Source organism: Homo sapiens, chromosome 20 (genome assembly GCF_000001405.40).
Source record: "Homo sapiens chromosome 20, GRCh38.p14 Primary Assembly".
NCBI lineage: Eukaryota > Metazoa > Chordata > Mammalia > Primates > Hominidae > Homo > Homo sapiens.
Window position 1 is genome coordinate 63,262,488 of NC_000020.11, and position 27,480 is coordinate 63,289,967.

A 27,480-nucleotide genomic window follows, 5' to 3' on the forward strand; every position below is an offset into this window, starting at 1 on the left:
TCCTCCCATCACCTCGAGGGACTTCCTTCCATCCCCACCGTCCTCCCTTCACCTCAAGGGACTTCCTTTCGTCCCCACCGTCCTCCCATCACCTCGTTTACTTTTCAAGAACCCTTGGAGGAAGCGACCATCCATTCTCCTATTCTGCAGATGAGGAGACAGGGGTGGTGACGCGCTGAGTGACTTACAGGAGACGGGGGTGGGGACGCGCTGAGTGACTTACAGGAGACGGGGGTGGGGACGCGCTGAGTGACCCTCAGGAGACGGGGGTGGTGATGCGCTGAGTGACCCTCAGGAGACGGGGGTGGGGACGCGCTGAGTGACCCTCAGGAGACGGGGGTGGGGACGTGCTGAGTGACCCCACAGCTCAGAAGTCGAAGGGCTGAGTTTCATTCCAGGTCCTGGGACCCCCAGTCCCCAGGGTTGGGGCTCTGGCAGCGCCTCCTCACCCCGGCGTGGGAGCGAACAGCATAGGACGCCTGAACTGCAGGTGCAGAGAGGACACCTGGACTGCAGTACAGAGAGGGCGCACCTGCAGACAGGTGGGGGCCCTCAGTAGGAGACACCTGTGTGCAGGCAGTAAGCTGCACCTCGTCACTAGTCACCCACGGGGCCACACACAGACCCTCCTGCTCCCCTGAAACCCCCTCCTGCTGGCCCCCAGTCAGTGCTTCTCCCCCAGAAGGAGTGTCAGAGACAAAACAACACATTTAGTTTCAAGATCTTAGTTGTGTTTTATTTGCTACTCTAGAATCGGGCAACACCTCTTTCCATAAAACAGAACGAACGCTCTCATGAGCCGAGGGGAGGTCAGAGGTCGGTTTCACAGACAGAAGAGGCCCGAGGAAAGTAGACAGAAACCAAAGGCGCGCTGGTCACTTCAGAGTTACTTTTCCTGTAAAGGTTAAAGCAGAGGATTAAAGCCCACTCCTGTAATCCCAGCACTTTGGGACGCCAAGGCGGGCAGATCACCTGAGGTCAGTGGTTCAAGACCAGCCTGGCCAACATGGTGAAACCCAGTTTCTACCAAAAATACAAAAATTAGCCGGGTGTGGTGGTGGGCACCTGTAATCCCAGCTACTCGGGAGACAGGCAGGAGAATTGCCTGAACCCGGGCGGCGGCGGTTGTAGTGAGCTGAGATTGAACCACTGTGCTCTAGCCTGGGTGACAGAGTGAGACTCTATCTCAAAAGAAAAAAAATAAAAAAGGTGGGCGCGGTGGCTCACACCTGTAATGCCAGCACTTTGGGAGGCCGAGATGGGCGGATCATGAGGTCAGGAGATTGAGACCATCCTGGCCAACGTGGTGAAACCCTGTCTCTACTAAAAATACAAAAATTAGCGGGCGTGGTGGTGCACACTTGTAGTCCCAGTTACTCAGGAGGCTGAGGCAGGAGAATCGCTTGAATCCAGGAGGTGGAGGTTGCAGTGAGCCAAGATCACGCCACTGCACTCCAGCCTGGGGACAGAATGAGACTGTCTCAAAAAAAACAAAGGTTAAAGCAGAGGGGACTTCCTTATCATGTTGGCTTCTTGCTGGCTTCTGGTGGCCTGTTTGGGGATTCGGCTGCTATCTCTCCCTGATTTCTGGGAAGGGTGGGGGCGGTCAGATACAGATCTTAGGAACCACAGCATGGGTGACTCCATTTTGGTTTTGTCTGTTGGGCCTCCTGCAGGAGCTCCGTCCAAACCAATGACCTCTGCATTCAGTTTTCTTTGACAAGAGCAGGCATCGGCCCCTGCCCAGCACTGGTGGGTCTCGCCTGTTCTGGGGGATCCATGTAAGTGGATGGCGCAGCCCAGACCATGTCCAGTGTGGCGTGAGACTCATCTGTGTCCTGGTGGCAGTGGTCTGCTTGTTTGTGTGGCTGCGCAGTCCTTAAAGACGTGGACACCTGGCCGTCCACTTGCCATGCCCCTGTGCATTTTCTGGTTGCTTCGGCTGCTGGCTGTAGTGGGGACGGCGGCTGTGAGCCTTCTAGACTGTGCTGCTCGGGAACTCCAGGGCCAGGCACATGCCTAGCTGTCCCTGTGTCTCCAGCACACGAGAGGAGGCATGTGGCTTCTCCAGGCTCAAAAAAACACCGAGTCTTCCTGCTGCCGGGTCTTTGCTTCCCTTGCTTCCTCACTACCCCGCAGCGCCCAGGGCAGGGCCAACGCCTGCACTGGGGCCCACAAGCCTGCTCTTTGTGGCGCTCACTGCCGTCCGTCTGATCATCCCTTGAAGGGGGACACTCCGAGTTGTGCCTGCCCCCCTACATACTCCCAGCGCAGAACCTGGAACCAGCAGACGCTCAAAAATGTCAATGTTGAATGAATCGACACTGGCCGTGTTGGATGACTAATTAGCAAAGTCATCTCAAAACAGAGATGTGAGTTGGGGACCCAGTGAGCATTCCTCAAAGTCTCTAAAGAAACAGATCTCATTTCTGAGACCTGGCCCAGCTAGAGCTGCCTGATATGAACCTGGGATTTCAAGAGCTCCTGTTTCATCCTTAAAATGCACTTGAATTTCACTTTGTAATGTACTTAAGGTTGTTTTAATATTGAAACAATGTTATTTTTAGTTTATTTTTCTAGATGAAGTCTCACTCTGTCGCCCAGGCTGGAGTACATTGGTGCGATCTCGATCTTGGCTCACTGCAACCTCCACCTCCCCGGTTCAAGCAACTCTCCTGCCTCAGCCTCCTGAGTACCTGGGATTATGGGTACCCACCACCATGCCTAGCTAATTTTTGTTTTTTTGGTAGAGACAGTGTCTTATCATGTTGGCCAAGCTGGTCTCGAACTCCTGACCTCAGGTGATCTCCCTGCCTCGGCCTCCCAAAGTGCTGGGATTGCAGGTGTGAGCCACGGCACCCAGCCTGAAACAACATTTTAAACTGCTAATCAGGCCTACAGTTTATATGCCTCTGCACAAGCCCTGCCCCCCTTTCCTGGGCAGGGGTGGGGTGGGGAGATGTCTCAGTGCCCCCATAGCCCAGTCCTTTCTCTCCCCCCACCCTCCCTGCCCCGACCCTCACACTGCCCCGTCCTGCAGGAGAGAGGCATCCCAGTTTGGGAAGCTGGTAATGCCCACCACTCGGTCACCAGTGTTGGTACCGCTCTGGCTGTCGGCAACTGGCTGGGCCTGGGGACACATGGGAACAACTCCGATCACACAGGAAGAGTTTCCCGGTCCCTCGGGACCATGGAAGCCCAGCCACACAGCACCGGTTTGAGGCAAGGCTCTCAATACCTCGCCCTCCGTGCCCAACACCTTGGTCTTCTGCTAGGGGTCCTCACAGTCTGGGGAAACTGAGTCCACATGGGCCTCAGGGCTGGAGCTTGGAGCCCAGGGCACCCAGTCAGCACATTCTATCCTCCTGGCCGGTGATTGTTTGGAAGTGGACACATGACCCCAGCTAGGCCCATCAGGGTGGAGCGTGAGCTTTCAGCTGGGATGCCGGTGCAAGGCTACTTTCTCTTGCTGGAGGCGAATCATGAAGCTTGCAGCCTTAGAAGCTGCCAGAAGCATCCTGGGGTCTCAGGATGAAGACGGAACTGCAAACATACACAGAGAATCCTGGTTCTCAGCAATAGTGCTGAGCTGCTGGATCAAGCCACACCTGAAATTGAACTTTGTTCTAGAATTTTCATCACACAAATCAATACATTCCCTTTGCTAAGCCATTTGGGGTTGAGATTTTTGCCTCTAGCAACTAGAATCTGGAAAGATTCCTGGCTAAGATACGCATGGGAGGGTCCAAAGCAGGAGGACCCTGCGGGTCCAGCTGTCACAGCCCCAGGATCTGAGCTACCAGTTCTGCAATCTGAGAAGCTGGCCTGGTCTCAGCACATTCTTAGCTGTGACTCCTTAGCCGCTGTGGCCACACGTAATTCAGCACAGCTGCAAGTTTCTTGGAGCTCAGGACAGAGCGGCTCAGCATTTTCGAGGAACATTTGTACTTCTGGGTGACTTACACACCCTGACATTCTTCCCATTTCCTTCTGTCCTGGGCCCCAGTTCTTCTGGACGCCACGCACAGGCAGCAGAAGTGGGGGCAGACGGGGCTGGAACCAGCCAGGTGGAGTCCCACCATGCAGCAGGCCAGAAGCCAGGACCAAGGCAGCACCGTCGTGGGCAGCCCCGGGCCAACCCCACGCGCTTCTCTCCAGGACCCAGGCGGCACCGTCGTGGGCAGCCCCGCACTAACCCCACGCGCTTCTCTCCAGGACCCAGGCGGCACCGTCGTGGGCAGCCCCGGGCCAACCCCACGCGCTTCTCTCCAGGACCCAGGCGGCACCGTCGTGGGCAGCCCCGGGCCAACCCCACGCGCTTCTCTCCAGGACCCAGGCGGCACCGTCGTGGGCAGCCCCGGGCCAACCCCACGCGCTTCTCTCCAGGACCCAGGCGGCACCGTCGTGGGCAGCCCCGGGCCAACCCCACGCGCTTCTCTCCAGGACCCAGGCGGCACCGTCGTGGGCAGCCCCGGGCCAACCTCACGTGCTTCTCTCCAGATACAGGACAAAGCTGTTTCAGAAGGACCTGGTGGTGGAAGATGATCAACAGGAGACAAAAATGGGCAGAGAAAAACACAGGCATCCACAGGACACACCATGGCCAGGCCGTGTTTGCTTGGCCTCACCACCATTAAGATGAGAAAATTAAACAGCGATGGCGACGCGTGTGCTTAGAGCCCGGCGGAGACAGCCCCCTTGGTAATGGCAGCCAGGGAGGGGACGCAAGGAACAGGCACACTCCCATCAGCGCATCTGGCACAGGGGTTTGGAGGACAATTTGGTGGAATCTCCCAGAACTTACCTGGCACTTCCACCTCTAGAGGTCTATGTTGTGGAAATACTCGCACAAACAGAGAGAGGTCACCGCACAAAGATGTCCAGTGCAACATCGAAGGTAAAACAAAGTAATGATGATTGTGACAGGAGAGTCCTGTCTTCCAATCAGAGGCCAGTTAGAGAACGTAAGAGACCTCAGTGGTTAAGATGAACAAGCCTCTGCTATAGAGGGGACGCAAGAAAGCCACCAATCAAGGTGTGAGTAGCAGGGAAGCCCAGGCCGTGTGCCTGTTTATGCAGAAGACAAGATCTGGGCAGGTCCACCCCAAACTGCTGGCCGTGCTCCCTCTGGAGGTCCTGCCCAGGACCAAAGGGGCTTTCAAGCCTCCAAGGGGCACCCCCATGGTGCCCTGGGGTTGTAGAATGCCTCCTTCCTGAAAGCCCCACCTGCGAGTCAGCTCCCCTGCCTCACTTCTTCCCCCCGTCACCGCTCAAGCTGGCTGTGACTGTGGTGGCAATGCAGGACCCAGCAGTTGAGCTACAGGAATTTCCCTGGAGCTGCCTCTGTGTGAGCCCTGGCCGGACACACCAAGAGACAGGGAGAGGGCGAGGGGATGAGCCAACCCTCCAGCAACTCCCAGACAACGGGGCAGGGCAGGGCCAGGGGAATGACCAGAATTCTCTCAAGTGGAGGGTGCAGAGGGCGTGGGTGAGTGAGCAGGGGCTGGAGGCCCCCAGCAGCTGCACGAGAGGGCGGGGCAGAGACAAGACCAGAACCCAAGTTCCTAGGAGGCCTGGAATGATGAGTTTATTCCTGGGATTTTATTCCTAGGATGATGGTGCTGAGCGAGGTCTGGGCAGAAAGAAGGAACTTCTGGGCAGGAGAACTTCAGGGGACTCTACCATGAAGTGTGGAGCGCTGAGCAGGGAACAGCCTGAGCATGGAGCAGCCCAGCGAGTGTGGGGCTTTCTGGCTTTGGCTCAAGGTGACCTGACTTGCAGGTTGATGCTGGTGATGGAGAGGGTTGGAGAGAGAGAGGCGACGATCCAGAAGGATTTCCCCTTTGCTATGCTGCTGGCCTCTCCCCTTCACCCAAACTAAGAGGTGCTGGCACCCATCACAGCACATGGCAGCCGGAATGCCAGCTGGGAGGGCTGCTGTCGTAGGTCAGGTTCCCTGGAGGCTGAAGACAGGGATTGCTGTGCCAGTGATTCTTTGGGAGGTGCTTGTCTTAATCTGCTCAGGCTGCTGTAAGAAAATCCACCAGACTGTGTGGCTTGTGAGCAACAGAAATTCATTTCTCACAGTTCTGGAGGCCGGAAGTCCAAGATCAAGGCATGGGGATATTCTGGGCTGGGCGAGGGTCTGTGCCCAAGAGCCGGCACCTCCTCTCTGTGTCCTCACATGGGAAAGGCGTCGGGTCTCTCTGGGGCCCCTTTTATGAGGGCACTCATCCCATTCATGAGGGCTCTGCCTTTGACCCCTCATCACCTCCCAAAGGCCTCACCTCCTGAAACCAGCACACTGGCGGTTAGGATTTCAACGTGGGAATTTACAGGAACGCCGACATTCAGGCGTGCTCCCTGGAGAAAGGTGGGTGGAATGCAGGATGGGAGGAGCTGAGCTGGGAGGGGCTCTCAGCCACATGCATGGCCATGTGTGCTGGGCTGAGCCACAGGAATGAACGGGCTAAGCCTCAGTTTTCAAGGTGAGCTCCGAGTCCGGGGGAGACTAAGGGCTCTGGTGACGCTACGGCCAGATGTGCCTCTCATGGGGGCCTGGAGCCCTGGACAGTTGACGAGACTAAAAGTCATTTCAAGATGCCCATTGGTTCTGCCATGCAGGAGGGTCCAGGCCACTCCTTAGACGAGACAACAGGGCTTCCCAAGAGCTGCACAAATTGCTGGAGTGGGAGGGTGCTTTGACCGCGCAGGGGCCCCGACCCTCTGGCTATGCTGGAGGCATTCCAGCAAGGCTGGCCCGGAGCCTCTGGGGTGGGGGTGGCCTGGAGCCCCATCTGTGTGCTGCTGCCACCCACTGTGGGACTTTGGGCATGTCTCTCCATAGCCTTAGCCCCTGCCCTGACAGTTGTGCAAGGTGTGGATGCAGTGGGACCTGCCTTGCAAGGAAGCCCTAGGAGGGTGGCTGCCCTTGGGGATGCCCCATAACTGACCCAGTATGGTGACCCTAAGCTGATGAGCCTGAAGGCATGTACCCATACATGCAGTACAAATGTACGCATACACACACATGCACATATACACACATTGCACATACATGTGTGTACACACCCCAGCATTGGGTAGCTCTAGCTGTTCCTCAGGCTCTGCCACCCCTGCTGGGAGCTGGCTGGACCCTGTAGACCAGGCTGACTGGCTGTGAGGCCCATACAGGGTCACAGAGGACCTGTGCTCAAGGCCCTGCCCACTTTCTCTGTTCCTTGTGTTTAGAATGAAACCTCTGTGGTTCTCACCCCTGCAACTGACGCTGTATCTCCCCATCCCAGGGCCCACCTGGTCCTGGCCCAGCGGACAGCTGGCTCCACAGACCCTCCCCTTCTATTCCGAAGACTGGGTGCAAACCTTCACACCACCACTTACCATCTTTTTCACTTTGGGCAAATTATTGAATTGTACTGTGCCTCGGTTTCCTCATCTGAACAATGGGTTCACATCGGAGTGCACGGTTGCGCGGTTTAAATATGCTCTTCCTCATCGAGCCCAGGGCTGAAATTCTGGCAAGTGCTCAGCCAGTGTAGGCCTCTGGCTTGAAAGGGAAATTGGAGACCTTGTTCCACAGATGGATGACCTGAGTCTGGGGAAAGGCAGTGCTTTGCTGCAGGTCCCACAACTTCACAGGTGACCTGGACTCCTGCCTGGCTCACAGCAGCTTCGTTCCTGCTCACCTGCCTGTGCCCCAGGCAGCTCTGCACAGCCATTTACTAGGAAGTTCTCATTTCACTGTTTTTGTATTATTCTGTTTGATTTTATTCACATCAAGACCTTCAAGAGCCTCGGGGAGGAAAGCACAGAGACGATCACATTACTATAACTGAAAATTAATGGACTGCTGGCACTTCCAGAAGAAAAACAAATTACCTAAATATTTTAGATGGGAAAATAGAACGTTTTCAATTGGCAGCTGCAGGTTCCGCCCTATTCCCCACTCCATTGCCAGATCCCACCACTGTGAGCGAGCTTTGGCCCCTCTGTGAGTTGGCCTCTGCAAGCCTTGAGATTGCAGAGAGAGGCGAGGCTGCTGTGGATGCTGTGGGGCAGCAGGCTACCCTGTCTTTGGAAGGGCCATGCCTCTAATCTGAGCTTTAGGAACTGGGGCGGCCTTGCTCTGGGGGGTGGAGATAGCCCCAGACCTCCCAGAGTCCGGGTGGGCCTGGTTGATGAGACAGCACTCTGACTTACTTGCTTTACAATCAGAAAACTGCAAGTTCAGCTTCCACTGACTGTTTGGTTACCCAATGCCAGATGTTGGCCCCAACTGTGCCCCTTCCAAGACTGCCTTCCCTTTTCCTCTCCTCCTTTTCAGCTTCTCAACCTTCACAGTCTGCCTCTTCCAGGCAGCCCACTGTGACTAATCCAGCACATGGCTCCCACTCTCTGAACTGATGGTACCCACACAGTCCTGACCACGAGATCGGTGCTGAAATCTACACTGTTCCAACTGCCACTTGTGTAGATGCTGCTGGTGCCTGTGCACGTCACCTTGGCCCTTTCCTTTTTGTGCACACCAGTGGTTTCTTACTGCAAGAACTGGCGACTCCCTCCTGAGGGCAAATAAATGGCACTGAGACACCATTTTGTACCCACAAGGCCTGCTGCCGTCAAAAGACTGACAATACCAAGTGTTGACAGAGATGCAGAGCAGCTGGACCTCACACATCACTGGCGGAAGCGTGAAATGCTTACCATCTTTTTGTTGTTGTTTAGAGATGCAGTCTCACTTTGTCACCCAGGCTGGAGTGCAGTGGAGTGATCTCAGCTCACTGTAACCTTTGCCTCCAGGGTTCAAGCAATTCTCCTGCTTCAGTCTCCCGAGTAGCTGGGATTACAGGCGTGCACCCCCAAGCCCAGCTAATTTTTGTATTTTTAGTAGAGACGGGGTTTCGCCATGTTGGCCCGGCTGGTCTTGAACTCCTGACCTCGGGTGATCCACCTGCCTCAGCCTTCCTAAGTGTTGGGATTACAGGCATGAGCCACTGCGCCCGACCACTTAGCATGTTTTAATAACGTTCCATACACACTTACCCAGGACCCAGAAATTTCACTTCTAGGTAATTACCTAAGAGGAAGAAAAAATATGCCTACAAAAAGACCTTTCAAGACAGCTTTATTCATACTAGCCAAAACTTAGACACCACCCCAGTGTGCAAAGTGTGAATAAATGAAGGAATGTGGCGTGTTTTCCATGGCACACTACTCGGCAGTTACGGATACGCACAACGTGGCTGAATCTCCGAGATATCACGTAAAGGGAAAGAAGCCATCACGAAAGTGTATTTTGCACGACTCTATTTGTGTGATATTCCAGAACAGACAAAACTAAGATATGGGGATACTGGAATCAGAAGAGTGGCTGCCTCTGATGGAAATGTTCTATAATTCACTATGGTAGACGTTACCTGGGGGTATGCATTTGTCAAAACTCATTGAACTGGACGCTTTGCGGTGTGTAGCTTATATCTCAAAAATGTTTATTCTCCATCATTTCGAAAGTCACCCAGATCAAGGAGGAATACGTGGAATGCACAGAAAAGTACAAAGTAAAAACAAAACAAAAAGTGACCTGCAATTAACCTCCCACAGGTGATCGCTTTTTCAGCTTTGTACCTTCCTAGTGCAGACTCAGGTCCCACCAGGGCGCACCTGCGCTCTGGGGCGTCTGCGTGGCAGGGGTGGGGACCCGCAGACGCTCTCAACCCCGCCGCCTCCCACCAGGGCCCAAAGGCTCGGGTGGTGGGAGACAGACCCCAGGGCGGGAGCATGGGCCCCAGGACGCAACCCTCCACCCCCGCGCCGGTCCCCCGGTCCCCTGCTGCCCACTGCCTGTGACCCTCGCCTCCCTGCCTGTCGCCCGCTGCCCCAGTCCTCCTACCCGAGTCCCCCTGCCGGTCCCCGGCTGTCCTGGCCCCTCTGCCCCCGCCCCGTAGACCTCGCTCCCCTGCCGGTCCTCCATGGCCCCCGGTCCTCCTACCTGCGTCCTCCTGCCCGGCTGTCCCAGCCCCGCAGCTCCCGCCCCAGGCCCCCACCCGCCCCGCCCCCGTTGTCGGCCCCCGGTGAACGCGCCGTCCCAGAAGCACCTCAGCTTGGTTCCGCGGATGAACGGACGCTTCTCCCGCCCGGCCCCCAAAAGCTGCCGTCCTCCGCGGCCACTACGACCAGCTGCGGTCCGGGGCCCGGGGTGGGAGTTGGACTGCGTGGCTGCGCGTCCCCATGGCGACCGGGCGGGTGCGCGCGTCAGGGGCTGGGGCCTGAGGCGGAAGTCCCGCCCTTGCCGGCTCCCGTGAGACCTTGCAAAGCGCAACGTAGCCGGAAGCTGGTGGCGGCTGGTGGGCGACCGGGCGCATCCTCATTGCAGTGCGGCGGCCCTACCTCGGCCCTGGCCTGACCCCGGCGGCCCTGCCCGCCCCTCCCTCCAGGTAAGCGCGCGGCTCGGCGGCGCGGGCTCGGCCTGAGGCCCCGGCTGCCGCGGCGTCGTCCCCGGCCTTCGCGGGCGGACCTCCCTGCCGCAGCCTCCTCCACCCGGACCCCGCTCCACCCTGAGGCTGCTGCCCCAGAGCTTGGGGGCGCCCACCCTGACCTCCCCCAGTTCCCTCGGCGCTGGGCGGCGGGGCCCTTCTCGCGCGGACGCCCCGCTGCAGCCGCCCCTCCGCCGTGCCGCCCCCCGCCCCTCGTGCCCCCTTCCGTACGAAGCTGCCCTCCACCCGCACCCCGGATCTGGAATCTCCCACCGGTTACGGGAGTCCAGAGGGTCCCTGCCCACGCACGTCGCCTCCCGGGGCGCGAGCAGGACCCTGCCCCGTCCGCTTCAACACCCTTTTCCCGAGCTCCTTCGGACCCAGGACTCGGCCTGGACACATCCCAGTCAGGTGGCCTCTGAAGCCCGGTGGGGCTTCCACCCCCTAAGAAGTGAGGGTCCTAAGAAGGAGATATATTTTTACATCTTGGTTTCAAGCGTTCAGAGTTTTTGCGTTATTTTTCAAGATAAACTATATTTGTACTTTTGAAGGTTAGGAGGTATTTGCTTTCGTGTTACTAACTTTAACATTTCAGGGAACTAGGGCTCTTGAATATTCAAAATAGTCACGTAGAGGAGTTCCTCTTAAATCCAAGCCAAGTCCTTTCCTTTTTACACACTCTCTCCCTCCGGTAGTTCTGTGAGTATCCTGTATGTTTTACAGTTAGAAATTCCAGCCGTCTCCTCATGGTTCTGACTTTTGTTTGCCTGTGTCTGTTGACCAATACATAAGCCCCGAGGGCAGACGTGGTGCTATGGAAAGAGTACAGGACCGAGTATGGCGACCAGGATTGGTCTCGTCCTGCTTTGGCGGCTCACCTCCTCTCCGTGGGCCGTGGCTTCTGCATGTGCCGTGGTTCTGCACAGGGCCCTCAGTGGCTGCTGTGACAAGAATGTGTCCCGAGGCCCTTGTAAGCTCAGTCCCGCTCCCTGCCCCGCCAGGGCACCTCTCCCCACAGGTTTTCCCTATTCCATCCTCAGTCGGCTGTATAGGTGGATGCTCAGTTTGATGACGGTATCCGCCTGAATGAGTCATGCTGGGGGTCCAAGTCCTGCGGTCAGGAGTGAGCATTCAGATGTCTGCCTCATGATCTGTGGTTCCTGGACACTCTTACAGAAGGCACAGAATTATGGAGCAGAAGGGAGCCCAGGGTGAACTTTTGGTTTTGTTTTGATGAACTGCAGAAAACAGGTGTTTATTTCCTAACTTTGAATAGGTTTAAGGTGGGCACTGGTCAATACTAGGAGTCATGGGCTTCAGAATTTAGAAACTTTGGCCGTGTGGAGTTGGGACCCCCCCCCCCCCCCCCGCCCAGTGAATATCTTATTTCTGGATACTTAAGATTAGAAATGAAATATAAGACAGAGGTTTTTGTTTTTTGTTTTTTAAAAGCTCTGCCTACACTGTGAATAGGAAAGCTGGTCTACACAGTCCTCTTAAACACAGTGAAGGAGGGAAGGGCTGGCACTGGGAAGGTCAGCAGTACACACGTGTGTAGCTTCCCATGGCTTACAGAGTTCAGCGTGTTCTCTGTGTAGTGAGAGGTAGAGGGAACAGCACACGGCTCCATTCATATTGAGAGGTGGATGAGCCTCAGACAACGCACTGAGGCATGGGCTGGCAGGGATCCAGGTCTGCTGCCTCCAGGCTGGACTATCTTCTACAGTTTGCTCGGTGGCGTGGTGTGCAGGGCCACTGGGTCATTCCCCCTTGACGCTGGGGTTGGTACCACCCCTTCCTCCGGCTTTGAATCTTAACTATATCAATTTTCCTGGTCCTGAATTAGATGGGCCACCAGTTGAAGTTGTACTTTGCTGAAGCTAGGAGAGCTGCAGAGACATCCATAGGTTTTCTCTTCACCCTAAACCTTGTTGCTGCTGTCCCAGTAGGGTCCCCGTGAGTCACTGTGGTGGGGGCTGATGGTCTGAAGCCACTCTCCTTGTCCTGCAGCAGCCACACTGTCGCCCCCATGCCTCAGAATGGCCCCAGAAGGACCTACTGCAGGTCCCCCAGCAGGCTGGACTTTCCACACACTCCAGGCAGCGGGGCACAGGCGGGAGCCTCCCTGCACTGCGTTGGGAAGGTGGTGGGGAGGGTGGAGCGCAGAGTCCCTGGGCTCCCTGTCGTTGGCAGTGATCAGCCCAAGTGTGGTGTGTCGCCTTTTAGGTGGAAAATCGAATTTTGCAGCCAATCTGTGTGTATTTTTAAAGACTACCCCTTGCTGTGGATTTCACCATTAGAAGACAGGACTTTTTATAACTGGTGCAGTCTTGGTGATGAATAAGCTTAAGCAAAGCGGCAGCAGTAATGATATGGTCTTCCTGATCATCGCCCTGGCCGCAGCCTGGGAGCCTCCTGGGGGTATGGGGAACAGATCCTTCAGTAAGTGGTCCCTGCGGACCCCTGCTGCGAGTGGTCCTGTGACCGGGGCTTCCAAGCAGCTCAACAGATTGCCCCTCAGGTTTTCTGTTGTGTGGTGTTTTTGGACAGACGTTATTTTCTTTTTTGTAGAGTAGCCTGTTTGTAAGTTTAAAGTGTTTATTTTTCTCCTTTGCAGCATCATGGCCAGCCCAAGAACCAGGAAGGTTCTTAAAGAAGTCAGGGTGCAGGATGAGAACAACGTAAGCCTCTGCCCCCCACCCCCCGCCCTAAGGCTTGGTCAGGGTCAGTGAGTTCCGGGAAGTTGTACTCTGAGCCTGTAGTTCTGGGACCCTCCTGCAGTGGATGGTGGTTGGCGTGGCTCTGGACGTGCATGGCTTGTGCTGGCTGGTGGCCTGGGTGGCCGGCTCTTAGAGTGGTGCCATTTCTGGCGCTCATCAGTGCTGGCTGTCGGGGGTGGGGGCGCCTCCACATTTCTCAGGTCACTCGCTCTAAGGACAGGTCCGCCTCGTCTTCCCATCTGAACATTTTATTACACGGAGGCTCTTTCCCCTCACGCCTTGCCCTGACCCACACCCCCGGCCACCCTGGGCAGCCCTCTGCATTCGCTCCTTGAGGCCACCTGTCGGGTCTTTGGGGTCCCTGGGCTCTGCCCTGAGCCACCTGGTGAGTCACTTGTGGCCCCTTTGCAGGTTTGTTTTGAGTGTGGCGCGTTCAATCCTCAGTGGGTCAGTGTGACCTACGGCATCTGGATCTGCCTGGAGTGCTCGGGGAGACACCGCGGGCTTGGGGTTCACCTCAGGTCAGTGTCCTGCCGCTCTGGCTCTGCGGAGAGCCTGCGGCCACCCCAGCATCTGTTCCTGACACCAGAGGTGCTGACGCCAGGGAAGCTTGGGGGCCACCTCCCATTGCATTGCCAGTGTCCACTCTAGTGACGCCATGGCACAGAGTTCCAGCTGCTGGCCACTCAGCCTCCCTGCGGCTGCTGCTTGCTGTGTCTAATTCTCAGGACGATGCTGGGTGGAGGGTGTCCCTGGGTGTCCCCGGTGCTGGTTGATCTGCTCGATCCTCTGCTTTCCAGCTTTGTGCGCTCTGTTACTATGGACAAGTGGAAGGACATTGAGCTTGAGAAGATGAAAGCTGGTGGGAATGCTAAGTTCCGAGAGTTCCTGGAGTCTCAGGAGGATTACGATCCTTGCTGGTCCTTGCAGGAGAAGTACAACAGCAGAGCCGCGGCCCTCTTTAGGGATAAGGTAGAGATGGGCCCGATTCACTCTTGCCCATGGTGTGGGGCTGCCCTGCCGTTTGTGGCAGCTGGACTGTGGCCTTTAGTGGTTCTGGAGTCGGTTCTTCTGCTGGTTCTGACACACCCACTGGGCCACACACAACTTGCCGCCCTGGAGCAGAGGCTTCCTGCCCAGAGGGGAGGCAAATGGCTTGCGGGGGGAGACAGACCTTCCCCGCCTCCAGGGGAGAAAGCAGCTGTGACCGTTTATTGCCTCTGTGACATGTTGGGCACAGTGTTTCTAAGAAGTCTGGAGGCCAAATAGGTGGGTCCCCCTGTGTTGGAAGTTGGAGCTGCACCAACTAGGAGCTCCCCAGCACTGTTGTTCATTGTAAAGTGAGTCCTGGCCTCGCATCCACACCTGGTCTGTGCACCTGAGCAGGGGCCGTCGAGGGGGCCGGGAGGAGGCTGCGGGTGGTGGGTGCTCCAGGCGGGCCGTGGGGGGTGCGCTGGAGTCGACGGTGCCCGAGGGCATCGCCAGGCGCCTTTATGCTCTCGAATGCCCTGTGTCTCCTTGTCAGGTGGTCGCTCTGGCCGAAGGCAGAGAGTGGTCTCTGGAGTCATCACCTGCCCAGAACTGGACCCCACCTCAGCCCAGGACGCTGCCGTCCATGGTGCACCGGTAGCTGCTCCTCGTGGGGCCTTAGTACAGTTTCCACTGGGTCCTGAACTTAGTAGATTGGGTTTCCCACAGAATTCTCCCCTTCTTTGCTGTTGTGACAGCTCTTTTCCCAGAAGTCAGTGGGAAAAACAGCTTTTTAAAATTGCCAAAACAATACAAGCTTTTAGTAAATTTAGACACCCATAGAGCTGTCTCAGATAGCGCCCCAGGTAAGCTCCGCACGCCTTCCAGGTGTGCACACAGCCGTGTCTGCCGTGGCGCTGTGGGAGTTCACATCTCCATCTGCTCACGGGGGTGTTGTCTGCCCTTCCCCAGAGTTGCCCATCTGCCTGTGGCACTGGCCCTGGCACCCTTGAACTGACCCCGTCATGGATGCGTCCCACATCCCACTGCAGGAACGTCCCGGGTGGGGTGACTGGGTAGCACGAGGCCTCCCCACCTCATCTGGAGCCCTGTAGTCCTGCCACATCCACGTGCTTCTGACGGAAGGCTTTGCACTGCGGGCAACTCCGGCTTGATTCCAGGCCCTCGGCCCTCTTGCCTCACCTCTCCCCGCTGCCTCCTGCCAACAGGGAGAGTGCAGAGCCCACTGTGGAGGCCTCTCGTGTTGCCCATGAGGCTGGCATTGCTGGGGTTTCAGCACCTGAGCCCGAGCAGCCACTCAGAGCTGAAGGCCACCCTGGCCTCAGGTGCTCTCAGGGGTGACGTGAAGGCACTGCCCACGTAGGCCACATGGTTCTGGGGGTGCTTCTGGGGTTACCTCAGACTTCACCCAGTTTTGGCCTTACCAGCCTTCGATTCTCGGTTTCAGAGTCTCTGGCCAGCCGCAGAGTGTGACCGCCTCCTCGGACAAGGCTTTTGAAGACTGGCTGAATGATGACCTCGGCTCCTATCAAGGGTAAGGACTTGAGAGCTGGGGACGCCTGGCGTGGGCCAGGCCCACAGGGTTCAGTCTGGTGGGTAGGGCTGCTTCCCTTGGGGCCTCCCATGTGCAGTGGGTGTGGGACCCAGGCATGCGCGGTGCAGGGTCTGATTGCAGTGAGTCCCAGCCAGCCCAGTGTGAATTGGGGGTCTTGGGTGTATTGCAGTGAGCCCCAGCCAGCCCAGGTGTGAATTGGGGGGTCTTAGATGTATTGCAGTGACCCCCAGCTGCCCAGGTGTGAATTGGGGGTCTTGGGTGTATTGCAGTGACCCCCAGCTGCCCAGGTGTGAATTGGGGGTCTTGGGTGTAGAGAAGCGCTAACACTTAGAAGAAAAGCATAACACATTTTCTGCGTGGAATCTGCTGGACCTATAAATGAATTTTTATCCCCAAAGCTGTCATATTAAGTTGTTTTGATCCTTCTTCTAGTACTTCTGTGGCTGGCTTTGGGGACTTGCTGGGGACCCTGTGGTGATGTGGCAGGAGGGTCTTTTTAAATGATCAGAAAGCACATCTCTCTGCTGCCACAGGAGGCAGCGTGCATGTCCTGTGCGTGGGGACGTTGGCACGTCCCCCAGAGCCCCAGCCTTGCCTGTGTTCAGGGCCCCACGCCCTCGGGAGGAGCAGGGTTCATGCCAGCATCTTCGGCCTCTTGTCCGCTTTGTTTTCAGGGCCCAGGGGAATCGCTACGTGGGGTTTGGGAACACGCCACCGCCTCAGAAGAAAGAAGATGACTTCCTCAACAACGCCATGTCCTCCCTGTACTCGGTGAGGACTTGGCCCTGCAGAGCATCTCCCATGGGCAGACCCCGCCCTGAGGGCACGACGGGCCATAGTGGGCAGTGTGGCAGTCCTGGAACATGTGCTCTTTGCCTTGTTCTGATCTAAGGACCCCTCCCTTACCTTCAGCGACGTTTTCTTTCAAAAATGTGGCTTAAATTTTTCAGATCCCAAATGTATTCAATCACTTCCTTTTTTTTTTTTTTTTTAAGACGGAGTCTTGCTTTGTCGCCCAGGCTGCAGACTGGAGGGCAGTGGTGCGACCTCAGCTCACTGCAACCTCTGCCTCCCAGGTTCAGGTGATTCTCCTGCCTCAGCCTCCTGAGTAGCTGGGATTATAGGCACCTACTATCACGTCAGGCTAATTTTTGTATTTTTAGTAGAGATGGGTTTTCACCAGGTTGGCCAGGTTGGTTTCGAACTCCTGACTTCAGGTGATCTGTCCGCCTCGGCCTCCCAAAGTGCTGGGATTACAGGAGTGAGCCACCGTGCCCGGCCATCACTTACTTCTAACACAAAATGTGTGTATTTCAAATCTAACAACAGCCATTCTTCCAAGGAACCCAAGGACTCTGATGGCAGCCACTTGGCCAGGTTCTCTGCAGAGGGGAGTGCTACATGCATTGGGAAGCTGGCTCTGTGCTTGGGTCTCTGGCAGCGCTGGGAAGTTGCTCGGGTGCTGCCTGAGGTCACTCAGGGCCATTTCTGGTCTGGGGATGCCTGGAAGCTCCAGGTCAGATGTTCAGAGTATGACACCCTGGGCTTGTTGCCATTTTGCTATTAACGGGAATACATTTTGTTCCACTTTCTTTTTCCAAGGAAATTTTTACCATCTTTAAAAAATGATTTTTGTAGGTGTGATGGCTCACGCCTGTAATCCCAGCACTTTGGGAGGCCAAGGCGGGCGGATCACCTGAGGTCAGGAGTTCGAGACCAGCCTGGCCAATGTGGCGAAACCCCGTCTCTACTAAAAAAATATAAAAATTAGCCAGGCGGGGTGGCATGTGCCTTGTAGCCCCAGCTACTGAGGAAGCTGAGGCAGGAGAATTGCTTGAACCCGGGAGGCGGAGGTTGCAGAGAGCCGAGACAGCACCATTGCACTCCGACCTGGGCGACAGAGTCCGACTCCATCTCAGAAAAAAAAAAAGATTTTTATTCATTGCAGCATTGTTGTCCGTGACACCAGCAACCTGAGCCTTTGGCCACGGGGGCTGCTTAAACGGGAGCTTGCGCTGAGAGCCAAGGAAGGGCTTATTTTGTTTTTTGTTTTTTTGTTTTTGTTTCTTTTGGAGACGGGTCTTGCTCTGTTGCCAGGGCTGGAGTACAGTGGCATAATCATAGCTCACTGTGGCCTGGAACCCTGGGCTCAACCATCCTCCCACCTGGGCCTCTCAAGTTGCTTAGCCTCCCAGAGTTCTGGTATTACAGGCATGAGCCACCATGCCTGGCCAGAAAGGGCTTTTTAATAACTAGCATGACAAGATCTTCAAAGTCTGTTAACTGGAAATAAGCAGGTTTAAAGCGGATGTCTTCATCTGCAAGAGCCCCCAAGTGTGTGGAGCTTCCAGTCGCTCGGGGTGGCCTGGTTGCACCTCTGGCCGCTGACGGCCATGGTTGCTAGCTCTTGCAGTCATTGCTACATCTTTAGGGAAGAAAAGCGCATTTTTCCAGCCTGTGTGTGGGCTTCATTTTTGTGGCCCTTCCTTCTGCTGCCTTTTGCTGGGAAGCTGCTCTCTGGGGAAGGCAGCTCAGCTTGGTGATCTCTCAAGTGAGGGTCCCTTTGCACTTCCTTTAGGAGGAAGAGGGTGAGTTGTGATTGAAATGAGACGTTTATTTTTTTAAATAGCTTTAATTATCTTGAGAGGCTCAGAAGGAAACCCTGAGCATAGATGAAGGAGAGCAGGTTACGCTGGTCGTGACCCCACACGCCTCACCTCTGCCTGTTCCTCTAGGGAGGCAGGAGGGAGCGCCGGCCATGGGGAGGGGTCCTGCCCTGCAGGGTGGGCTTGCTTCTTGAGGGTGGTGGGAGCCACGGGAGGCTGGTTTGCGCTGTGTTGGGAGCACTGCAGTTGGCGAGGTGGGGGTAGAGGGTGCGTTTCTGTTGTGCCCTGGGTCCAGTTGCACTCCTCCAGCAGCCTGGAGAAGCAGGCGCGGTGGGGTCAGGATGGGACGGGGGCCTGGGGCAGCCTCTGCCTTGGTCCTCTTCCTTGCTGAGATACTCTGCTCAGCGCCGGGTTCCTGGGTCCCAGTCCTGATGTGGCTGCTCTTTGTCGCCTCCCTCAGGGCTGGAGCAGCTTCACCACTGGAGCCAGCCGGTTTGCCTCGGCAGCCAAGGAGGGCGTAAGTCACTGCCCCTGCCATGCCACCGTCCCCACCAGGCCCTCGGGACACTGGCTGCTGCTGGCCTGGGGTTCTGGGAGCTGCAGAAGGGATGTGGGACACAGAGGGTTTCTGGGTGCTGTAACCATGGGCTGTGCCAACGCAGTACCAGCCAGGGTGGTCCTGAGACCTTGGAGGTTCTGCAGGAACACAGCAGCCCAGGCTGTCAGGAGCTGCTCCTGTGTCAGACCAGCTGCTGGCAAAGGGGTCCCGCCCTGATGAAAGTGAGGGAGATGTGAGCCCCATTGATTCCTAGACTCCACCCTATCCAAGCAGGGCAGGTCTCCGGCACCCTGTGCCCTGGAGCTTCTTCTGGGGCTCAAGTCGTGTTTTGAGAGCGATTTCTCTCTTTCGCCTGCTCCTCAGCCTGAAATGAGGGGAGGATTTGGGGCTTTCGTCAGGGCAGACAGTGAAGCATGAGGCAGAGACCCAAGAGCAGGCCTGACACCAGGATGGAGCATGGGCCCCCGGGGGCTGGGCTGTGGTGTTACAGGAGAAGGGGAAGCCCAGAGCAGGGCAGCGCGGGGCAGCTGGGTGCCTGCAGCTGCCCGCAGAAGCAGCCAAGGCACCTAGGGTGGGGCTCTTGTGAGTGGAAGTCACGGTGCGCACCTGTCAGATGTCCCCGTGGTCACCCTGGCCCCGTGTCTTCCCCCGTCACAGCGCTCACCTGTCACATGCCCCTGTGGTCACTCTGGCCCCGTGTCTTCCCCCGTCACAGCGCGCACCTGTCACATGCCCCTGTGGTCACTCTGGCCCCGTGTCTTCCCTGGGAGAGGAAGGCCTGGGAGGGCCCTGGAAGGGGCAGCAGGCCAGGTGTCCACGCTCCAGCTCCCACGGCCCCGTGACTTTGCCGAGCGTCAGCTTCTGGTTCCCGCCAGGGCCGCCGTTTTCTCGTCTGCACGGGAGGGCTGCGGCCTGGGGAGGCCCAGGTACCTTCCAGCCAGAGTGTCACGACCGGGCCTTTTCTCCTCCCCCCGAGCTTTAAAGTGACCAAGGTGCCTGGACTGTGCTGGGCATGGAGCCGTCCCCACAGCAGGGTAGATGGGGCTGGGGCGGTGGCACTGTCCATTGAAGATAGCGCTGGTGTGGCTTCCCCAGCCCGTCTTCTGCTCCAGCAGGCCCCGGCCCTGTCCTGAAGTCTGGAGGATGGGGTTGGCCCTGCTGTTCCCTGGCCTTGCACGCTGCTCACGTGTGCCCTCACCCCAATAGCACACCGAGCTGGCCTCCCTCTAGGGAGAGGCCAGCATTTGTGCTAATCCAGTCTCTGCTGCAGCTCTTCTGGGCATCTCAGAGTTATAGGGCCCGCCCAGAGCCGCTGGCAGCCCGGGGGCCATTGAGAGACAGTCCTGGACCTGAGTCTGTGGGCCCTGAGGAAGGATGCCTGGCAGCCCATGTTAAGTCTGTCAAGCCTTGTCTTTGTTTTTCATTTTAGGCTACAAAGTTTGGATCCCAAGCGAGTCAGAAGGTAACAGAGGAGAAGCTTCTGCACCCTGGTGCATCTGAAACTATCCTGAGTCTGACGTCACGTGCAGCACCTGAAGCTGCCTGGTTCCCTCTTCTCAGGCCACATGCTCAGAGCTGAGGGGTCCCAGCGTAGAAGGGGGTGTTCCTGCCATGCTGTTCCCCTCCTCATGCCCGGGTGGCTGCCTCATGGACCCACTCAGGGCCTGCAGGGCCAAACTCGTTTCCTGTTCACTGGTAGCTGGTACCGGTGTGTGGCCACTGCAGCCGGCCACCTTGTTGGGAGCAGGACTGCCCGGCTTGGCAGATGGCCCACGCTGGCGGTGGCCGCTCAGCCAGAAGGGCCGCTGTGGTTGGTGCTGTGCCTGCGGCACACTGGACGCGTCTGCACTTCGAGGCAACGGAGCGTCTCTTTGCTCTGGCCAGGGCTTCCCCCAGTCGGGGCAGTGTGGCCTCAGGCCTTTGCATGTTTTTTATTCTTTAGGATGTGGGTAGGGGCCCCGCGGTTCCCACTTGGTGGTCAGGGCTGTGATCTGGCTGTCCTCGGGTTCAGAATCACACCCAGGAGGCAGTACCCATGTGAGGCTCACCATGAAAGCTCAGGACTGCAGGCGTGGAGCTGTGCATGGCTCTAGGACGCGCCTTTGCCCCCTGGGCGAGGGTGTCCTTTCTCACGAGGTGCCCATCCGTCACCCCCGTGGCCCATATCACCCCTTCCTCTCTGAGGGAGTCTCCCCACGTGCCCACCCCCAGCTGCAGGGACGCCCATCTGGCTTTTTCGTGGGCCTCCCAGGGTCCTGAGGTGCAGTCGCTCGCGCAGTTTCTGAAGGTGGTGGTCAGTTCCAGGGCAGGGAGCGGCTGCTCCAGGGTTGTGTTGCTGAGAGCCTGCCCGGTGCTGCCTTAGTGTTGCGGCACCCCATGGTGGGTTCGAAGGCGCTGCTGGTTACTAATGCCGCCCCTCACCTTGCTCTCTCCTCACCTGTCTTCTTGCTGTCGGGTAAAGTTTTGGGGTCACAAGCAGCAGCCGGAGCCGGTAAAGCCCGTGTCTGCTCGTGCATGCCGCCCGCATCTCCGCCGAGAATGTGCTTGGCTTCCTCTGTCCCTCCTGCGTGCTGCCACTGTCTTGTGTCACCTCACATGTGCGCACGCTCAGACCCTCTCCCTGGCCTCGGTCCGTGGCTCTCCTTTAAGATCCAGGATCTGCATCAGGCTTGGCTGTGTGTGCCTGTCACCCCTGCGCAGTACCACTGCGCTCCCCCCGGGCAAAAAAATGAGACCCCCATCTCCAAAACACACAGACCCCCAACGCAGGCCTGCTGCCGGGGAGGTGCTGGAGGGAGGGCGGGGGCACTGGGCGCAGAGCTGCTGAGCAGGGTTTCCTGGCCACCTGCGCTCCCTTGAACGCAGTGCAAAGGGGAGGATCTTTGCTCTGTGACGAGTTCTTCCCTTTCCGGCCTTTGATCCGTGCTGCTCCCTGCCTTTGGGGGAAGAGGAGGCCTCACACCACATCCCCAGGTGGCCGTGTGGCCTCGACTCCACTGACCCAGGATCAGGAGAGGCTGAGCTCCTTTCTCAGCAGCTTCTTCCTATGGCCCCAGCCTCCGTGCCCTCTTCCCTCCAGGGGGGACTCGGTGCCTGCCTGGGGAGGAAGGAGAGGCGTTGCAGGTCAGCATGGGGTGGCTGCAGCCGGCGTTGGCCTCAGGCACAGGCTCCACAGGGCCTGTTCCCACCAGCCCGGCCCGGCAGGGCCGCATGGTGGCGCGTGAGGGAGGACCCTGGAGGGGGACCTTCCTGCAAGAATTGGTGGGGGCCGCGGTCTCCGCCTTCTAGAGGTGGCGGCCTACTGCCCTTCGGGTGTTGTGTGCAAAGCCCCGTTTCCTGCTCCCTGCGCTTGTATCCTGCTGCCTTCCCTCCTGCTGGTGAAGCTCGTGCTGCCCTTTGCTGGCCTGTGCTGCCACTGCCGACCCGTGTCCCGTGGTGGAGCTGTCGTGGGGCTCACGTGACTTCCCTTCCTACAGGCGTCCGAGCTGGGCCACAGCCTGAACGAGAACGTCCTCAAGCCTGCGCAGGAGAAGGTAACGGGCAGCTCCGGGTGGTTGTGCCTGGAGCCCTTCACTCCAGGGGACGTGGGTGTGTCAGGGGTGTTAGGGGGATTGTTTGTCCAGCAGCTGGGACTCAGCGAGGCCAAGCCTCACACCCCACCTCTCCAGCACAGGCGTCCTCCTCGGGGCCTGGGCTCCTCTTGGACCCCCCAGCTGGTCCCTTCCCCTGGCCTAGGGCCTCCCTTGCAGTGCCCCCAGCCCAGCACCCCCAGCCCACCTCCGTTCCTCTGCCTCACCCCTACAGCTGGCCCCAGAGCCCAGCACCCCCAGCCCACCTCCGTTCCTCTGCCTCACCCCCACAGCTGGCCGCGGAGCTGTGCCCAGAGGAGGCTCTGGTATGGGAATGATGCCTGCCATCCTAGGGGGTCAAGAGCCCCGCCAGCTCCCTGCCTCCTTCGGGGCCTGACTGGGACAAGTGGGGAAGACCCACCTGGGGCAGCGTGGGCTGTCCTTAGGTCACGTTGCTATTTGTCAGCAGTGGCCGGCAGGGGCCACGTTTGCAGACACCAGGCCTCACAGTGACATGGTTTCTTGATGCTGGAATCCCTTTGGGGCCACTGTAGAACTTTCTGGGGCTCAGCCTGATGGGTATCCACATGCCCCTGATATTTCGGATGCCCTCACCCGGGGGATTCCTGCACTCCTGAAGCTTTAAGCTTTCATCTCTCCCGCCCCCATTAATGCCGCTGTCTTCATCCGTGCAGGTGAAGGAGGGAAAGATTTTTGATGATGTCTCCAGTGGGGTCTCTCAGTTGGCGTCCAAGGTAGGGAGCCTGCCAGATACGCGGGCACAGTCGAAGCCAGTCTCCATATTCCACGGCCCTGGGCGTGAGAGCAGGGTGTGCCCCGTGCAGCCCTCAGCCCAGCTTGGCAGTGGCCGCTGTCCTCTGAGACGGGAGGAGAGCTGCCCAGCCTGACAGCCCGAGGGATATGGAAACAACTTGGCCCACTGCGGCCCGGTCAGCCACTAACTGTCACTTCTCCCTCTGCTCTTATCTTGCTGCTGCTGGCCTTTTCCTCGGTAAGTAAGTGCCAGCGCCGTCTTTGCTGCCATCAGTCCCACTGCTCTGCGGGCCATTTGGGGCGTGCATTTTGTCCTGTTTCCTGGCATGAGGCGCTCTGCGGACAGACGGGGAGGGAAGAGCAGGCCTCGCTCCTCCCCCCCAAGCATGTGGTGGGAGCTCTTGAGGTCTGTGCACGAGGCTGTCCTCGCTGCCATGTCCCGCACACACCTGGCACCGCTGCAGAGTGGCCGGGGCGTCTGTGTCTGTACGTGTGTGCGAGGCACCCCTTGTTTCTGGATTTTGCCTGGGTCTTCTCAGCGGGACGGCGCGTGCCGGCTTGCGTGTGGGGGCCTCCTGAAGCTGCCTGTGCCGCGACAGGGCCTGCCTAACCTCTCTTCCCGTCTCCTTCCAGGTCCAGGGAGTCGGTAGTAAGGGATGGCGGGACGTCACCACCTTTTTTTCGGGGAAAGCAGAGGGCCCCTTGGACAGGTATGCTGTGTCCCCTCCTGGGCCTTGCATCCCACTCCCCTGCCTTGGCCACTCCTCCTACAGGCTCTCCAGGAGGTGGCTGGCATCCTTGCTGGGGAGGGAAGGGGCACTGTGGAGGCTCTCCGGGAGGTGGCTGGCATCCTTGCTGGGGAGGGGGCACTGTGGAGCCTCTCCGGGAGGTGGCTGGCATCTTTGCTGGGGAGGGGGCACTGTGGAGGCTTTCCGAGTGCTCTGCAGCTGCAGAGGCCTGTCCTGCCTGTCTCTGCCCTGCTGTGTGCTCTTTGGAACCCTGCAGGAGCTGGGCTCCCCAGGCTAGGGTGGGAGGGAGGGTCTCACCCATATGCCCCCACGTAGGAGGAGCTGGCGCTGCTCTGCTGTTCCTCTGTCTCCCAGACTCTGGGTGGATGGAGCAGGTCGGGGGCCAGGGGACAGGAAGGCTAGGGCCCCAGAGACCTGTCCTGGGCCCCATGTCCAGCTCTGCCCTTAGTGCTTGGCACCCCAGTCGCTTCTGCTGGAAGCTGGCTGCTGTTCTCGGCCTCTGACCCCAACAGGGGAACCACCGGGGATCTCATCGGGCCTGGCCTTGTGCTGTCTACTGAGAGGCCAGCCCTGGTGGGCACAGATGCACTGCCCACTAGGTGGGCCCAAATTTTCCCTGCAGACGCCATGTCCCTTCTCTCCCTCTGTGTATGTGGTTTTTCAGTGGTGTGATTGCAGCTGAGGACAGAGGGCAGGGCCAGATCTGGGGCCAGCGTAGCTGAGGGCGTCGCTCGGGAGGGCCTGTGTCCCGGCTTGAGGCCAAGCGCCCCTGCCCCTCCCCACTTGACTAAACCACTGTTTTATTGCAGCAGTTTGGAGCTGGTAGAAAAGGAAGTTTTCTGTAAAACTGTCCTCCAGTTGGGGTGGTTGATAAAGAGTGGGCCCTGGTTCTCCAGCTCCCCAGCAGTTTCCTCTGCTCTGAAGCGGGAGAAACAGATCCCACCTGGTGGGGCTGCTGTGGACCCTGAGCGCTGGCCTGGGAAGGCGGTCACTGTCCAGGTGCAGAGCTCTCGGGGGCACAGAATTCCCAGTGGTGGACTGAGTAACAGTCATTTAGAGTCCCCCTTCTGTCTCTTTAAAAGCCCCTCGGAGGGCCACAGTTATCAGAACAGCGGTCTGGACCACTTCCAAAACAGCAACATAGACCAGAGCTTCTGGGAGACCTTTGGAAGTGCTGAGCCCACCAAGACCCGCAAGTCCCCGAGCAGCGACAGCTGGACGTGCGCGGACACCTCCACCGAGAGGAGGAGCTCGGACAGCTGGGAGGTGTGGGGCTCGGCCTCCACCAACAGGAACAGCAACAGCGACGGCGGGGAGGGCGGGGAGGGCACCAAGAAGGCAGTGCCGCCGGCCGTGCCCACTGATGATGGCTGGGACAACCAGAACTGGTAGGGCCCACTGCGCCCCCGTCCCCAGCGCCCCCGGGCGACTTCGTGTTTGCACTCTGCCCTCGTCGTTCCTCCTCCTTCCATTTGACCCAAGAATCAGCAACTGCAGTGTGAGGACAGCGTCTCGGGAGGCAGGACCCTAGGGAGACCCGGGTGTGCGCCGCCTGCGCGTGGGGAGTCTTCGGTGCGTGGGGGCGGCTTGCTGTCCAGCCTGTGTGGGGGCCGTCCCGTCCCACACTCCCCTGGGCATTCTTGGACTCAAGGCCGGGGCTCTGCGTGGCTTGCTGGGAGGTGGGCTGCAGCACAGAGGCCTGTGACTGCGTTCCAGCGGCCAGTTCACTACGCAGTATCTCTGGGGCCTGGGACCAGCCACGTGCCGAGCTGTCAGCGACGTGAGGTGTCCCTTCTCGTTGAGATATTTAACTTTGGTTTTGCTCTAGTTCTTTCTTTTTGAAGAGAGTGACTGGAGTGGTAAAGATGGAAATGCTGGAAATGATACTGGCGCTCACGCTGCCATCCGACCACCCTCGGCTCCCGAGTCCACGCCTGCCTGGGCCTGTGCTGTCAGACCCGCGTCGGTCGTAACCCTCTGTGGCTCCCCTGCATCAGCACCGTCCCACCACCAAGTTCACCAGGTTCACCAGACACGGCCTCCACAATAGCCACACCCACACCTGAGCTGTTCTCAGTGCTGGAACTTGACCATCCTGGAACACCCTGGAAGAAAAAGGAGCGCAGGGTGGGCCCTCGGCCCTGATGCAGGAGGGTGCGATAGCGGACGTGGCCAGGCAGGAGGGGCCGGGTTCAGGAGCTGAGCAGGGGATGCCTGTGCGTGGTGCCTGGGTCTAGGGAAGCTCCAGCCCCAGGATGGGGCTGCCCTGCACACCGGTGCCCGCCACATGCCAACCCTCACCTCCCCGAGGACTGGATGATGTGCTGCCACGTGTGACTCGTCTCCCTTGTCTGCCCTGTGTGACCCTCAGTCTTGGCCAGCCATGCATGCGCCCGAAGCTCGTGCAGTTTGTACGTGAGGTGCTCTCCTCCCTGCCACCATGCTCATCACTCTGGCCTTGGCCATGCTCCCTGGTCACCCCACTTCCCGGTCGCCGTCTGCAGCACTCCTGGAGCAGCCTGGGCCCTTCAGCCCCTGTGCTCGTCCCACCCTAGGGACTCAGCCACTTGCAGAACAGGATGGGACCGAGATTTCAGCGAGCCCTCCTGGCGCCCGGTCCTCCCTGTGGGCACCAGCCCTCTTGGTAGCTGGTGTGGAGGGCCGGTGTCCTTGGCTGCCACGGAGGGATTTGATCACCGAAGCAGCCACCTGCTGTAGTTGGACCTGAGGTCAGAGGCGGGGCATCAGAGGCTCAAGGTGCTGAGAAGCCACCGGGAAAGCAGCCAGCACAAAGGGCCCAGGAAGCCAGCCCCCGAGAGCTGAGCGTGGGGGTCTTTGAGTGTCTTTCTCCAAGCTGAGACGTGGGCGGCCGCGTGGTATCTCCCGAGGGCTGCTTGGACCCTGGTGGGCTGAGTGCTCCGAGGAGGGGTGGACTCCACCTTGGACAGTGGGATGTGGTGTTCCACATGTGCCTGTTTCCACGCCAGCACCTTGACTTGGCAGCATGGAGCCAAGGTCTGTCCCCGCCCAGGAGGGTGCCTTCCTCGGGGGTAGGGGGACGGCCCACTCTGCCCCAGGGAGTCCCTTTTGATGGGAAGTGCAGTCAGCAGCGTGGAGGTGTCTGGGCCACCTTCAGAAGGTGGATGTGGTGGCCGAGACCCCGTCCACGGAGGGTGATGGCCTTTCCCTTCTGCAGGTGCGGGCAGGTGGGCCTGGGACCGGTGCTGGGGCCTCTCCTTGCTGTGTGTGAGGGCCCAGGTGGAAGGCGCGGACCTGACAGCATTCCAATAAAGCATACGGGAACATGCAGAATGTCTGGATGCATCCCAAGGGGCCACTTCCAGTGCTGTGCCAGTAGGGTCATGGGACCCCCGGGAAGGCAGGGGTGGGACACTAGGAATCGTGGGCGGGCTCCCTCACTGCTCCTGGCCCCCTCCACCTAGCCCTCCTGGGGAGGCCCTGGCATCACCCCATCTGAGCCAGAGC

At 58.4% G+C, this 27,480-nt stretch overlaps 1 protein-coding gene and 1 non-coding gene across 20 annotated transcripts, besides 3 other annotated features; both read left to right on the forward strand.

Annotated features, from left to right (window-relative positions):
- Positions 10,007 to 10,306: a silencer, noted in NCBI's record as "silent region_13150". NCBI's record gives its function as "represses an Ori minimal core promoter by ATAC-STARR-seq in GM12878 lymphoblastoid cells {active_cell/tissue: GM12878}" and the evidence as "EXISTENCE:reporter gene assay evidence [ECO:0000049][PMID:35858748]".
- Positions 10,317 to 10,536: a silencer, noted in NCBI's record as "silent region_13151". NCBI's record gives its function as "represses an Ori minimal core promoter by ATAC-STARR-seq in GM12878 lymphoblastoid cells {active_cell/tissue: GM12878}" and the evidence as "EXISTENCE:reporter gene assay evidence [ECO:0000049][PMID:35858748]".
- Positions 10,326 to 27,303, forward strand: ARFGAP1 (ARF GTPase activating protein 1). Of its 19 annotated transcripts, XR_001754329.2 has the most exons (15): positions 10,326 to 10,433; positions 13,090 to 13,153; positions 13,604 to 13,713; positions 13,993 to 14,164; positions 14,718 to 14,818; positions 15,630 to 15,716; positions 16,412 to 16,508; positions 18,804 to 18,860; positions 20,332 to 20,364; positions 21,364 to 21,393; positions 22,379 to 22,435; positions 23,167 to 23,226; positions 23,879 to 23,955; positions 25,077 to 27,009; positions 27,191 to 27,303. XR_001754329.2 is itself a non-coding variant. In XM_011528901.2 (14 exons), the coding sequence occupies exons 2-14, from the start codon at positions 13,094 to 13,096 to the stop codon at positions 25,384 to 25,386; spliced, it is 1,251 nt and encodes a 416-aa protein (XP_011527203.1). In that variant the 5' UTR covers positions 10,326 to 10,433; positions 13,090 to 13,093; the 3' UTR covers positions 25,387 to 27,303. The 19 variants fall into 19 exon arrangements, 13 of the variants coding, with proteins under 13 accessions (XP_011527203.1, NP_783202.1, NP_001268411.1 ...); XR_007067465.1 differs by lacking the exon at positions 21,364 to 21,393; XR_007067467.1 differs by lacking the exon at positions 21,364 to 21,393 and having other exon boundaries at positions 23,885 to 23,955.
- Positions 21,699 to 22,199: an enhancer, noted in NCBI's record as "H3K27ac-H3K4me1 hESC enhancer chr20:61915538-61916038 (GRCh37/hg19 assembly coordinates)". NCBI's record gives its function as "activates a minimal SCP1, AML or CMV promoter by ChIP-STARR-seq in naive H9 embryonic stem cells {active_cell/tissue: H9 hESC(naive)}" and the evidence as "EXISTENCE:reporter gene assay evidence [ECO:0000049][PMID:30033119]".
- Positions 24,321 to 24,379, forward strand: MIR4326 (microRNA 4326). The gene has a single exon (NR_036220.1). It is a non-coding gene; the product is annotated as a microRNA 4326 (primary transcript).
- Positions 27,304 to 27,480: the final 177 nt, after the last annotated feature.